The sequence below is a fragment of the Homo sapiens genome, chromosome 2 (genome assembly GCF_000001405.40).
Source record: "Homo sapiens chromosome 2, GRCh38.p14 Primary Assembly".
Taxonomy (NCBI): Eukaryota; Metazoa; Chordata; class Mammalia; order Primates; family Hominidae; genus Homo; species Homo sapiens.
This window is the reverse complement of record NC_000002.12, coordinates 217301135-217314979: the sequence shown is the minus strand read 5'-3', so window position 1 is coordinate 217314979 and position 13845 is coordinate 217301135. Positions and strand designations below refer to the sequence as shown.

The window sequence follows — 13845 nt, the reverse complement described above, 5'->3', positions numbered from 1 at the left end:
TCCACCAACTGTCATTGTGTATTTTTAATGTCCAGTGACACTGAGCGCCCAGTGATTGCTTTTGTTTGTGCTCTGGTCCCTAGGTAGGCTTTGGATAGAATCTCCTATCCTACTTTTCCATCAATCCTGTTGTTTGTAGTGTACAAGGGTTTTCAAATGCCTATATCATTGCAGAAATGTATCTCCTTGATGCAGAACTGACCCTCCAGCAGTATGCACTGATGCCCACAGGACCTTAGAAACTTTGCCTTGGTGCCCCACCAAACTTTGGTTTTCTAGTACCTTGAAATCATGGTGCCAATTCATGGTCCACATCTTTTGTACCATGTCTGCCACACTTGCACCCATCCACTGAGCCTGATGATCAGAGAACTTCATTTTCCTAATTTCATCGCTTTCTCACCTGTTTCAGGCTTTCCCACAGCTTCTCGACTAATGGGGTCATTGGTGTCTCTCTAGAAATGCCACTGTGCCTGAGTGTCTGGGATTATTGCTATATTTGCTTTATGGGGAGAGGCTGAAAAGCCCAGTACAACTATGCAGCTTGACACTGCCAATTTACCCCTAAATCTGTTAATGCACCCTGGAGCTGAAAGTCACAGGCCACAATTGCTCCACATTGAGTGGATAAACAAACCATAAATAATTCTGTGGACACATCGTAAACGTGGGGCCGACCTGTCTCTTCTAGCCTATCTGTCTCTACAGGCTAAAGGAGTAACGTGAGTGAGGGTGCCTCGTTCCCAAGGGCTTTAGGCAACAGGAAGGGACCAAAACTAAAACCAGAAGCTCCTCTTATGGGTGGAGTAGAGCAGCTGGGCTTCATCTTTGCCAAAGTCAGAACAAGAGGAAGGGGGCTGGTATAACTGAAGGAGGGAAAAGTTAGTTACAGAATTGAAAAAACCTGGACTGGATTCTAAGGGGGATGAGGGCCTCATTTTCTGAAAACACTTTAAAATTAAATCTTCTCGCCAATGTGTTTGTGTATAACAGCATATATGTGTGTGCATGTATATATGTTTACACCCTCCTCCCCTCCCAAACACACAAACACATGCCTGCATGACTAAGAGACTTTTATCCTCATCTGTTTAAAGAAAATTATGGGCAACATAATCTGGTTAAGGCCATAAAAGACTGAAATTGGCCTGAAGATGTGTTCTCTTCAGTCCACAAAGTTTACAAATTATTTTTTATATGAAATGCCTTTAGAAAGCAAGTGTACTGTGCATACTCTGAAGTTTGCTGTAGTCCCCACCACTCCCTAACGTCATACCTCACAATGTCTGTTACCTCTCTGGGATTGATAGCAGGATTTCTCAACCCAGTGCTGATGATTCTTTGTAGTGCTGCTTGTCCGGGCACTGTGGGATGTTTAGCCACACCCCTGGCTTCTACCCACAAGGTGCCAGTAGCACCCGCATTTACTGCCCATGGCTAGAAGTTTTCTGACAACCAGAGAGGTAAAGCAATTTCCTCAAAGTCTCGTACTTGGAGTAGTTCTATGATTTCATACTCCTGGCATAGTGCCCTTTCTTCTATAGTATGGATAGTAAATCCCCACATCACTTATTTTCACATTACATAAAGAATTCCCTGAGCTGCCTAAGCAGCATTTATAAGAGGTAGGTTACTTGCCGTTTTCAACATATAGTTTGTGGTAAAATGGACAGCTGTATAATTCTGAGGTGTTGACCCCCATCTCTAAACTCAGCTTTCTAACCCAGTTAAGTGGGAGAAATAGTGGTACCCGAGATCAAGCCTGTCTATACTTATATGGCTAGAGGATAGTTGAGGCTGGCATTATCTGATTGGTTGGTGCCTGTGACATGCCAGCGGTGAAATACTTTGAATATCACCCTGCCTGTCTTGTTGGGTTGTTGTGATGATTAAGTAAGACAGTCCAATTATGCTTGGCATATTGTAAACTCTCAACAGCTATGAGCTATTGTTCTTATTGTCCCAATTCATAATCAGGTAAAATAAGGAAGTCCCACCTACTGCTTTGACCTTATATGGCACCCCACTCCCCTTCCCTGCCTGTCCTAGGTACAGTGGCACATTCTTGTTTCTCTACCTTGGCAATTTGGGCCAATTCTTGCCTCAGGGCCTTTGCACTTCCTGTACCTTCTGCCTAGAGTGCTCTTACCCCAGGCTTTTATTTTGCTCCTCCTCGTTGTGCAGATTTCCGTTCCAATGTCACTTTCAGAGAGTCCTTTCCTGACTTCCCTCTATAAAAGAATCCCTACCTACCTATCCAATTCTGCATACCCTTGGGCTATCTGGACTAATATTTATTATTATTATTATTTATTATGTGTCTTCCCTCTTCTTCACAAAAGAGGAAGTTTGTCTTCTTTGCACTATAGCTCTAGCATTCTTTCATGTCATGGTAGTAGCAGAGAGCCTAGCGTACAGCTCAAGTGCTCAGTAAATATTTGTGCAAGGAATACATTAAGCATAAACCCTGGTTCTTATTCCAAGTCCAGGGCTGTTTCACTCCATTAGATATAAGCCTATCTAGAAGAAGATGAATAAGATTCATTGACTGAATGATGGATTCATTCATTGATTCACTGATTCATTCTTTAATGTGTTCATTGATTCACTTATCTATTCATTCACGTATTCATTCATTAATTTAGCAAACATATACTAGGTACCCTGTTGGGAATCTACCTACTCTGTAGGGAGAAACTCAAATGAGCGAATTTCAGTTCCTATTATTATTCTTCATTACCATATGCAAGCAAGCAGGAAAAATAGAGGCTCCCACCTATAAAGAATGAAAACATGTTTTTCCACATTAGCATTTCCCCAAAGTCTCTAGAGCCCATTGCCATAGAAAATTTCATACAGAGCCTCTACTCTGTGCCAGGTGCCATCGAGGCACCATGGATTCTGAAATGGATAAGGTCTGGTTCCTAGACCCAAGTTGGTTTTGCATCTCACTGCCTTATTCCATTGCTTATTACCTCTGGCCTGGACTATGGCAGAACTTCATATTAGAAAGCACACACACTTGTCTGTTGTTGGTCAAAACAGTTCAACTACTGGCAGGCCTCTGGGATGCAGTTTGCTGTGTTCTTTTCTATTTAACTACCACCAACTCATTCTAATTCTTAGGATTACCCTCTTTTTCAAGGCCATCTGTGAGCCAGCACACCACCTGCTCAACTCTTCTCTGTTGTGCCTTTTTTTTTTTATTATACTCTAAGTTTTAGGGTACATGTGCACATTGTGCAGGTTAGTTACATATGTATACATGTGCCATGCTGGTGCGCTGCACCCACTAATGTGTCATCTAGCATTAGGTATATCTCCCAATGCTATCCCTCCCCCTTCCCCCGACCCCACCACAGTCCCCAGAGTGTGATATTCCCCTTCCTGTGTCCATGTGATCTCATTGTTCAATTCCCACCTATGAGTGAGAATATGCGGTGTTTGGTTTTTTGTTCTTGCGATAGTTTACTGAGAATGATGGTTTCCAATTTCATCCATGTCCCTACAAAGGATATGAACTCATCATTTTTTATGGCTGCATAGTATTCCATGGTGTATATGTGCCACATTTTCTTAATCCAGTCTATCATTGTTGGACATTTGGGTTGGTTCCAAGTCTTTGCTATTGTGAATAGTGCCGCAATAAACATACGTGTGCATGTGTCTTTATAGCAGCATGATTTATACTCATTTGGGTATATACCCAGTAATGGGATGGCTGGGTCAAATGGTATTTCTAGTTCTAGATCCCTGTTGTGCCTTTTTTAAAGCATATACACCCTTTTCATTGTAAGGATTTTACATCTAAACATTATGTGTAAATAGATAAGAATAATGTAAGTAATGAACCATAGAGAATGCTCTGGATGTCTGTGGATCCTGACACACTTTCTTAGGTGATGCTTTTAAGGTCCTTTGTTTGCGAAGTCAATCTGGTTGACTTTCTCTACTGGGTGCTAAACAGAGGAGTTTTAATTTTGGGTTGGCAGATGGCTGTTTTTGTCAGATTCTCAGCCACTCTTAGAGCTCACATTCCGATGAACTCTCCATCTAAGTGCCTTTGGAGCTGTGCTCGCTTTGGTTTAAGAGGAAAGGGCTATTCCCCTTTTGCCTCCAGAAATGCTTCCCCTATAGTTCGTGCAGCTGTTCAACGACTTTACAGATACTTCCATCACCTTCTCAGCTCCAACTTCTGAAAGTGCACCTCATCTCTCCTGATTATCCCCATTGACCCTTCCGCCTTCTGAGAAGATGCAGATGCTAAAGGATAATTTTGACCAAGGTTTAAATGAGTGTGTGTGGGTAAGAGAGAGCTCAGTGAAGCATTCGGGCCTTGCACATGAAAGAAATATCACCCATCTAGGGCTTTAAACAACAGAATGTCTTGATGCCTGAGTGGAAATGCAACATCAGAGCAAACCCCATTACAGAAACTCAATTTGCCATCTAAAGGGATGACCACCCTTCCCTTTACAAGAGATTTTAGAGCCAATATTTGTTCCTTTACCATTGTACTCTGTGCAGTACACACAGTTTAGCAAGAAAACCAGATTCATGGCTTCCAGAGTGCCTGAGGATATAAGGGCTGAAGAAGTTCGCTGGTTCTCAGTGGTCATTCCAGTGTCACTGTATTGCTTTAATATCCCTAAACCTTGATGCTGTTCCAATATGGTCTTTTGTAAAGAGGGAATTGATTGGTGCTCAATGAAAACACTGAAAGTCCTTCATTTCAGGACTGTAAAAGAGACACACGACAGGACACTACCCGAATCTGCTTTTTTTTCTGTCCTGTTCATACACAGTCTCCACTCCCCAGACAGTTACTGGGGGTTCTCGCTGAAATTCATTCCTGTGTTCACCTATCAGTCAATACCAAGTCACCACTTAGCCTCAGTCATATTTTCTCTTTCCTGCTCTAGTTCTCCTGATCAGCATCTTCAACTTCCAAAGTCATGCAGGGGACTCTTAACCATACTATCACTAAGGTTAACCTCGATTTTAACACCAATATTTATGCCAAGGGGACCATCACCTTAAGGTGTTGGTTAAGGGTCGTGCTATGGCCTGAGCTAATGCAATGAAACCCTTCCCAGTGCTTTGTCACACATTTCAGCCAAACAGCATTCACAGAACCCTTTATGGTGGCAGCTTCCTTCGACTTTGCCTCTAATCCTTCTAGTCTTGGTCCATGAGGCCAGGTAGGATACTAGACACCATTTCCTTTTCTTCATCACCATCCAATGTTCACAAATACTTACTCTGCCCCTTTCAAATAAAAACGGAAGACCTCATGAATGTCAATTCCAGCCACACTCACACATGTCTGAATTTTCTTTAAGCACAGCCAATACCATCTGGACTGTCCTAAGAAAAAGAACACAAGTCTTTACCTTTATGAGATGACAGAATAGAACTGATAAGGGTCATCACCATCTGTCCCGGTGGGATTGACTTTGTCTCCTCGCCCACCATAGCTGTGGTCTTTCTTTTGCTCTTTAGTCCCTGGCCTGTCATCTTGGTTTCTTGAGATTTTACATTAATTCACAGCCTAAGCCCATAAAGAATTAAATGCAGGTCTTGTGTGATTTGGCCCCCACAACAGAGAATGGGCAGGAAGGCATCTATACAACTGTCTCTCCTTGAGACTTGGCTTTGTTCTGTTGTTAGTCTACCAGGAGTTCCCAACCACAGGCCACTGACCAGTACCAGTTAGGAACCAGGCTGCACAGCAGGTGGTGAGCGGCAAGCAAGCAAGCAAAGCTTCATCTGTATTGACAGCTGCTCCCCATTTCACTCATTACTACCTGAGCTCCATCTCCTGTGTCGTTTAAGCGGAGGCATTAGCTTCTCATAGGAGCGTGAACCTCATGGTGAACTGCACATGTGAAGAATCTAGGTTGTGCATTCCTTATGAGAATCTAATGCCTGATGATCTGTCACTGTCTCCCATCACCCCCAGATGGGACCATCTAGTTGCAGGAAAACAAGCTCAGGGCACCCACTGATTCTACATTATGGTGAATTGTATAATTATTTCATTATAGATTACAATGTAATAATATTAGAAATAAAGTGCGCAGTAAATGTAATGCACTTAAATCCTCCTGAAACCATCCTCTCCCTGATCCATGGAAAAATTATCTTCCACAAAACCAGTCCCTGGTGCCAAAGAGGCTGGGGACTGCTGAGTCTATCACTCAGCACTGAGGCAACTAGTGAGGCCAAATGACCTGCTGGCTAACAAGGGATGGTCAAAGAAGCAGGATCAATGCAGGACTGTCAGAAGGCCTCTCTCCATGAGAAAGTACATGGTATTCCCATATGTACACAGTGCTCTTTACTTAAATTCTACCCTTCCTTTCAGACCCAATTAGATGTCCTTTTTTCCCTCATGGCCTCCTTCCCTTCTCCTCTCACATTCATCCTAATATTGTGGATTTGCATTCTTGCTCCACAGTCACCTGCGAAATCAGGTGACTGATTTCACTGTGTCACCTCTAATAAGGTCCACATTTCTTGAGCATAAGCAAGGAGTCCTTTAACCACTGACCTCCTGCCTTGTTCTGTACCTCCTCCTGGTAGAGGCCTCATCATGCTACTGTTCAGTTCCATTTCACAATTTTGTTAGAAAGGACAATTCCTTGAAGCAAATGTGATAAATTAGCCTTATAAGAGTGTTTCACATCATTTTTATTAAACTCTATTGCACCCCAATTCATAAGTAAAAAAAGCAAAAAGGAATCAACTATTATTTTCCAAAGAAAAATGCAGTTATTTTTGTTACAATTTTGAATAGATTACCAACTTTTTTCTTTTTATCACAAAAATCTAATTTGAAGGAATGATCCTCATTCCTTTCCATAAAAAATCAGGATTTTAGTTATAGTCAGGAGCCTAGAATAATCCTAATCTGAACTTTTCTTACATCCCATCCTGCAGCTAGAAATATGATTTTCAAAAAAATACGAAGGCTTCAACGTTCTTTGTGGTGAAGAGACTGGAAGTGACACTATGGGGCTTGCGAGACATGACATCATAATATTAATTGCTTGATCGTATAAAGTGTCCTTAGTGAAGTATACAAGATGAGCTATGTCTGGCTCAAACTAGGGCTGAAAATACTGAGGATGTTCAAATATTGATTAGTTTTCATTTGTGTATTATTTACTTATTGTTCAGCTATTCAAAAAAATGATTTACGGCAAGAGATCGAATTTGGATTTAGTGCATGAGATAAAGACCTATGAGTTTATTTAACCCACAAATTCAGTATGATCCAAAAGTAATCATCTCATGGTGACTTGCCCCAGGAAGGACAAATTCATCTCCAGGTGCAGCATCTTGGAAGGGCAGACAGGGATGGAACAGAGAGGACAGTGACTAGGACAATGGAGGGCTTAGAACTTTTATCATATGAGGAAACCTTGAAGAGCCCAGGAGTCTGATATTAGTCTTGAGAAAAGTGAAGAGTAGGGATGGGTCTGAGAACTCCTGACTAGCAGAAAGGCCTATTGCAAGAGCTTTCACATGGACCAGGCTGCACTGCTATCTAAGGCTGAACCAGGACAGAAGCACAAAAGCTACAGTGAGGCAAATTCTAATGCAATAAAAGAAATAATAACTTCTAAACAAGGTTTTTGAACAGAGCCACACAGTTATCTTGTGATGCAGCATGCTCTTCTCCATCAGCAAGGCTCAGATGGGGGCTCTGTGGCCACCTGCAGAGATGTGCAGAGAGTTTGTTCTTTCCGGTCCTCCTGGCCATGGGCCAAGAAGTGAGTGAAGCCTGGGACTAAGCCAGCCTGAGTAGCACCTACTCCTAGGATAGCAGCCCTAAGAGGTTCTGTGCCAAGAAAAGCGATGCCAGCAGTACAACGTGGAGTGATGCTGAAGGAAGGACCCAGAGCCAGGTGTTTCATGACTAGGTTACCAAATGGGAAGGGCAGAGCAGACGGAAAGTAGGATGAATACGGTAGGGGTAGGTGAAGAGAGTGGGATCTGATTTCATGAACTCAGCACAGCTGCAGTGGCATTGTATCAGCACCTAAGTTGACTTGCTTCACTGAGGCAAGTGTGGTGTATTTTTTAAATCAGAGATCCACACCTGAAACATTCTTCCTTTAGTAGTAGGTCACATTTCTAACTCTAATAATCTGTAAGCCATCGAGTCAATATCCTCTTTGTGTGAATGTCCTATATATATTAATCTCATTATGATCAACAGAGACATGAATAAGCCAATGGCTTCATCCATACCCTTCAATTGTTTGTTTTGTATCTTCTCAACAAAGGAGCACTAGTTAAAGAGATACGTTCTTCAGTTCTTCATTTATTTGCCACTCTCAACTAAGGCAAATTGGCCCACTGTTCTGGTCTTCAGATTCATCATTATCCACAAAAAGAAGGTCTTTCAAGAGAAGAGAAACTTTAATTCCAAATCTAAAGTCCAAAAAAGGGCTACAACTTTCAATTTTCCTCTGTCACTTGCATATACTTTCCCTTACCCAAGGAATCATACTGTATGGTACATATTAGCTAACATTTTTTTCTTGGCCTCCAAGTGTATTCCTCTGGTTCTCAGTTGATGTTACAAGTTGCTGAACCATTTAAAACACAACTGAACTACTTCCCTAGCAGTACTGGCTCTAAATATCATGGGGCTCTGTAACATGGAGGTCAGACAAAGCACAAAGGAGATGATAGGAAAAGGGAGAGAACTTCAGAAATCTCTAGGTATGGAAATATGTCTTCAAGGTGAGAGCAATGTTTAACTCAAAATGACAAATTTTTATTGTGGATTCCCCCAAACAGAGTCTGAAATAAGACAGATGTGTGAGTGGTTTATTCAGGAATGTGATGCTGAGGTGCAGGAGTGAGGGGCGGGGAAAGTGAACTGGAAAGGAGGGAGAGTCAACCCAAGGATGCATCATTGAGTTGGTCACCACTGGAGCAAGTAGGTGCTTGACCTGTGGGACTATTTCAGAAGGCTTATAAAATGCATTTTAGAACCATTCACCTGCGGGGACAAAAAGACAGTAATTTCCATTTCCTGCTGGTCAAGGGTTACACCGTAGGTGTTAATCCTCTAGCTGTTTGGGATCATGCATAAGTGTTGAGGGGTTGCCACAGGCCTGCCATGCTGTGACATCAGGGAGCTTCATAGTATGAAGCAAGGTGAGTTGCTCTCAGGTGATTTATGGCTGAGGATTGATGAAGTCTTCAGAGAACTGGACACCAAAGCCTCGGGGGCATGAGAGGTGAAATAGGATTTGTGATAATACACAAGAGCTGTTAAATACATGTGTAACTCATGTTTCTCAACATTTCACCCTTTGGGGTCTGCAAATTGAGTGACCTCAAATTCACTGCTTCTCACTGCCACTCCAAAATTGTAACGCCAGCTGATAATCTCACATGTGCTCTTGAACAAATCAGATCCACTGGGGATTCCCCTGCTCCTCCTGGGGACTACTGGTCCCTCTGAGCACTGTTACCTCTGCTGGCATCACTTCACCTCCTGCTAAAAATTGCCAACTTGCCCCTGGACACTGTACTGCCTTTCAAATCCTTTCTCCTCTGCAACTTCAGTGCTTGGTTATTTAGCCAAACTTCTTATTGCCAACTCTTCCATTTTGATGAGTCCCTTCTCAAGAGGCTGTTCAGTCCCTCATGGAAATAGAGGTGAAGTCTCTAGGCACCCTGTTGGTGAACCAAACCTTAATTTAATGCCAGGGCTAAGCCTACATAAATATTAGCTTGAACATCTATTGTAAACATACAACAAATGTTGTTTTATGTTTGTTATGAGTTCTATTGGGGGAGGGATTTAAAATAGTTGGAGCTAGAAGTGGAAAATAGAGAGAGAGAGGCAGAGACAGAGAGAGAATTTTGATGCTCAGCTAGAAGGCAAAAGAAGTGAATATTCTAAGTCTCCTAAATTGTTCCTGTATAAATAACTATGATTACTTCATGTCATTTTCATTGCCTTAGGGGAAAAATGGGGTATTCTTGTACTGGACCACATTCTTCAAGTTTCTCCCCCACCTGCCTTTAACTAAGCCATTGTACTTGAGCTTCTAACATTTTCCAGAGAAGGTATTTCAGTGACTTTTCATAATTTATCTAATGCTATTAAACTGTGGTCACTATCTACAATTTCTTACAAATGATTACTCAAAAGCCTATGTGTTTTATCCTAAGCCCATTTCCTAGTCAAAACTCAACTGAGATAGAGAACAGCTGCTATATGCTATGTACCCTGTGAACTTTATAAATATGCTTTGACTCATTAACTAGGTGCTTACTACTCCCTGCATCTCAATTTCTCATATTTTGGAAAGCTAGGGATCAGTTGTTCCAAAGTCATTCCTTCTCAGGTGTAGCTAATCCCATTTCTAATGGAAATATAAGGAAAGGCCATTCACTAGTCATTTAACCTGCAAAAGCTCCTCCTCTCAGTCCCTCTAGTTCTGCACCGAGTGTCCTAAGGATACTGAGGACCTTTGGAGGTCCTCATCCAAAGGTCTTGCTGTATTCCTCATTGGAAGATGTAAGTGAGACAGAGAAAGGACAGAGGCAGGGAGCCATGACAAGGCAACTTCAGGGCCAAGAAGAAACTGTCATGAAAAGAGTGATAGGATGGAGAATATTGGAGGATGAGCTACAGTTCCCAAGTAAGTTCTTTTCCTGTTTCTTCATAAAAACACTGACTCCAGCTTAGCTGTTTTTGTCTGCTGATCCTGGTTGTTGAGCTTGTGGACACTGACAGACAGAAAGGGACCTGCTGGTGTCATTTTATATGGTTTGATGTTTCCAAACAGAACAATCCTTATGCACTTTACATAAAACACAGAAGAGAGGTGGTAGAAATAAAAGGGCTAGAAATAGAAGTCTGTATAATAATAATACCAGCTGACATGCATTGAGCACTTACTGTAGGGCAGAATCTTGCTTACTTGCTCCTTTGTTATCATATTAGTCTGGACCTTTTCAACTGCAAGTGATAGAACCTGATTCAAGCCAGCTTCCAATTTTTCTTGGCCTTGAATCCAGCAATGCCTTGATTTCCAGGTCCAGGTGATTCATGTAATATCAACTGGACTTGTCCTTACTCACCTTCCTTAGACTTCGCTTTCCCCAGTTTTCCTCTGTCTTCTCAGATGCTCTCTTGATGGCAAATTGGACACCAGTTAGTCCAGGCTTATGTCTCATCTCTATGGAAAAGTGGAGCTATTTCTTTGTATGGTTCTGACAAATTTCCCTAACAGGGTTTCATTGGCTGTGATGGTGTCCTGAGTCCATCTCTGAGCCAACTGATGGTCATAGGTGTGTGACATTCAGTTGGCCAGGCCTGAGTCTCATGCCAGTCCGTGGGGCTGAGAAGAGGAAAAGGTGGTGCTGAAGTGAGCCCTACTCAAACCACAAAGTCTGAGAGTGACAGGCCTGCTTCCCAATGCAAATTCAGTTACAGAAGAAGCAGGAGAGGACATATTAATTATTCAATTTGTCTAAGGTTGGAGACCAAGTTTTCAGAATCCATTTCCTCTATGGTACCAGTTTAGAGTTAGCTGAAAGAGGCACTTGTGGGAGATTTGAGATTGTGAGAGTTTCACAGAAGCCACTCCTCTCTAACCACTGTCACGGCCAGACAGTTACGGATGGATGCAGAGGCTCCCAGTTTGTTCCGAGTCCAGTTTGTCTCCTCCACTCTTGTCCCTGCTAAACAGCAGAACCCCAGGCCACCACCAATCACTTAGCTGTGGATCCACTGATGTGGTGGTGTCGGGACCCCCTCCCAAGCTTACCTTCAGTGGTCTCACTTCCACCGCTGTGTTGCTTGCTTTCTCCAGTTCTCCTGTAAGCTTGAACGTGTCCAGCCTCACCACAGACTCAGGATGCAGACTGCATAGTGGGCAATCCTCCAATACCCTCTTCATGCCTCCTTCTACATCTGTGCAGGCTCCAATTCTGAATAAAATCCCTTATTCCCATAATGTTTACAGCAGCTCTGTTTCCCTAACCAAACCCTAACTGACAAGCTGGACAAGTAAAGGTGACATGTTCAGGATACCCACTGCCTCTATTTCATATAGGAGAAAGCAGAAACATGTTTCCCCAGAATGACAGGGCCAGGATTTAAACCCAGGCCTGTCTGACCCCAAAGCCCAAGGTCTTAGCTAGCATCCACTCACCTGATGTGTACTTTTTATTGCTTGCTTCTAAATCATAGCAGATTCTACTCTCGCCTTTGAAGGGCCATAGGTGCATAGTAAGGCAGGATCTTTTGGTTTTCTGAGAAGAAAAGAACACAAAACAAATAATTTTTAAAAGAAGGAAAGAGACAACAGATTTAGATAACCCACTATTAAGTAGAACAAATGAACACACATATTCCACTGCTTGAGATTTGTGGAAAGCAGCCTGGGTGCCTCATGAGTTCTCATTTGCCAGAACGAGCCTTGGTGTATGCCTTTTGGGGCTGTGCTTCCTTCCCTGGTGGTTCTGTCCATCTGTGGACCTCAGCCTGATTTCTGCATATCTAGCTGTCAGTGGGAATGTCTCTAGAAGCTGGCCACAGCCACCCAGCCCAACCATTACACATTTTCTGTCCTGCGTGTACATGTTCCATTCATACTTGCTTCTCATACAGCTGGTTCAACATGTACCCCCCACCCCTGCTGTTTTGGGCTTAAAAACTGGGAAAAGGCAGTAACCTCCTTTCCTTAGACATGCTCATAAGGCCTGAGGTCATTGTGGGGTTTTCACCAAAGCACTCAAAGTCTTATCAGAGTGAATAGAATTGTTATTTCAAATAATATTTAAATCATTTAGTTTTGGGAGATTTGAATGGGAAGAGAAGGAAATTAAAGTGTTCAGGTTAAAAAGTAAAAAATGCAGATGGTTTTCAGAAACTATAAAGTAAGTGAACGAATGGAGTTAGATGTTGAAGAAACCCTCTGACATGCTGGCTCTAGGAGAACATAAATTCCACTACTAGAAGGTGGGCAGGGACTTGGTTCACTGTGTGCCTGTCCCATCAAGGTGCTCAAGGACAATGTTTGTGGAAGGAAGGGGTAAACTGAGTGAGGCTTGGACTCAGGAACTAAACAGAATTAAGAATAAGTAGAGAGGGTGTAAGGGACAGTGAGTAGCTAGGAGTTGGGATGTTCTTGGCAAAACAGTTCAGCCTAGTCAGAATAATGCAGCAAAACTACTGGCATATGGAAGGACTAGACTCTCACATCTTGATTCCCAGGCCTTGGCTAATTCAGGATGACCACAGGAATCTCACTTCTCTGTTTTTCTCTTCAATTAAATAAGATTGAATTAGTTGGTCCCTGAGAACCTTTGAGTTAGTTATGTGATTAGATAGAGTTGAGGAAAACCCAGAAAAGACCAGTACCCAATATGGATGTTGCCAGTGGCTTGAGGAGGTGAGAAGGAGGGCGTGGTACCTTTGCTGGGCTCCCATCTATCAACTCCATCCTGCCCATGCTCTTCCCTTGCTCTCTGCCCTCAAGGGCATGGGCTCTTTCTCTGCTTTCTGCTTTCCCCGTCTTTCTGAACCAGCTCTGCTCAGTGCCCACATTTCCTGGCAGCATAGTTGGCAGGCACCCTTAGGAGCACCTCTGAGCAGAGCAGATGAGGACAAAGGGGCATGGACCTCAACATGAGGCAGTGCTGTGCCAGGCCAGAGTCAGAGGGCAATTTATGCCCCAGCCAGAGCAAGGAGGTGGCACAGGCAAGCAGAATGCACTCCCTGGGTCCCTCTGGATGCCAAACAGCACTGGAAATTTTCACGAATGCTAAATTCACTTGCCACTTTACAGGAAGCGCTGAGCC

At 42.9% G+C, this 13845-nt stretch overlaps 2 long non-coding RNA genes across 13 annotated transcripts in view; one reads left to right on the top strand and one right to left on the bottom strand.

Moving 5' to 3' along the window:
* The window catches only part of DIRC3-AS1 (DIRC3 antisense RNA 1), a 61472-nt gene that overhangs the window by 29225 nt on the left and 18402 nt on the right, over positions 1 to 13845 (bottom strand). Inside the window, exon 4 of the long non-coding RNA NR_133642.1 lies at positions 12195 to 12294. This is a non-coding gene — a long non-coding RNA (DIRC3 antisense RNA 1). The remainder of the gene's footprint in view (positions 1 to 12194; positions 12295 to 13845) is intronic.
* The window catches only part of DIRC3 (disrupted in renal carcinoma 3), a 506425-nt gene that overhangs the window by 475464 nt on the left and 17116 nt on the right, over positions 1 to 13845 (top strand). The gene's annotated exons all lie outside the window — the stretch shown is intronic.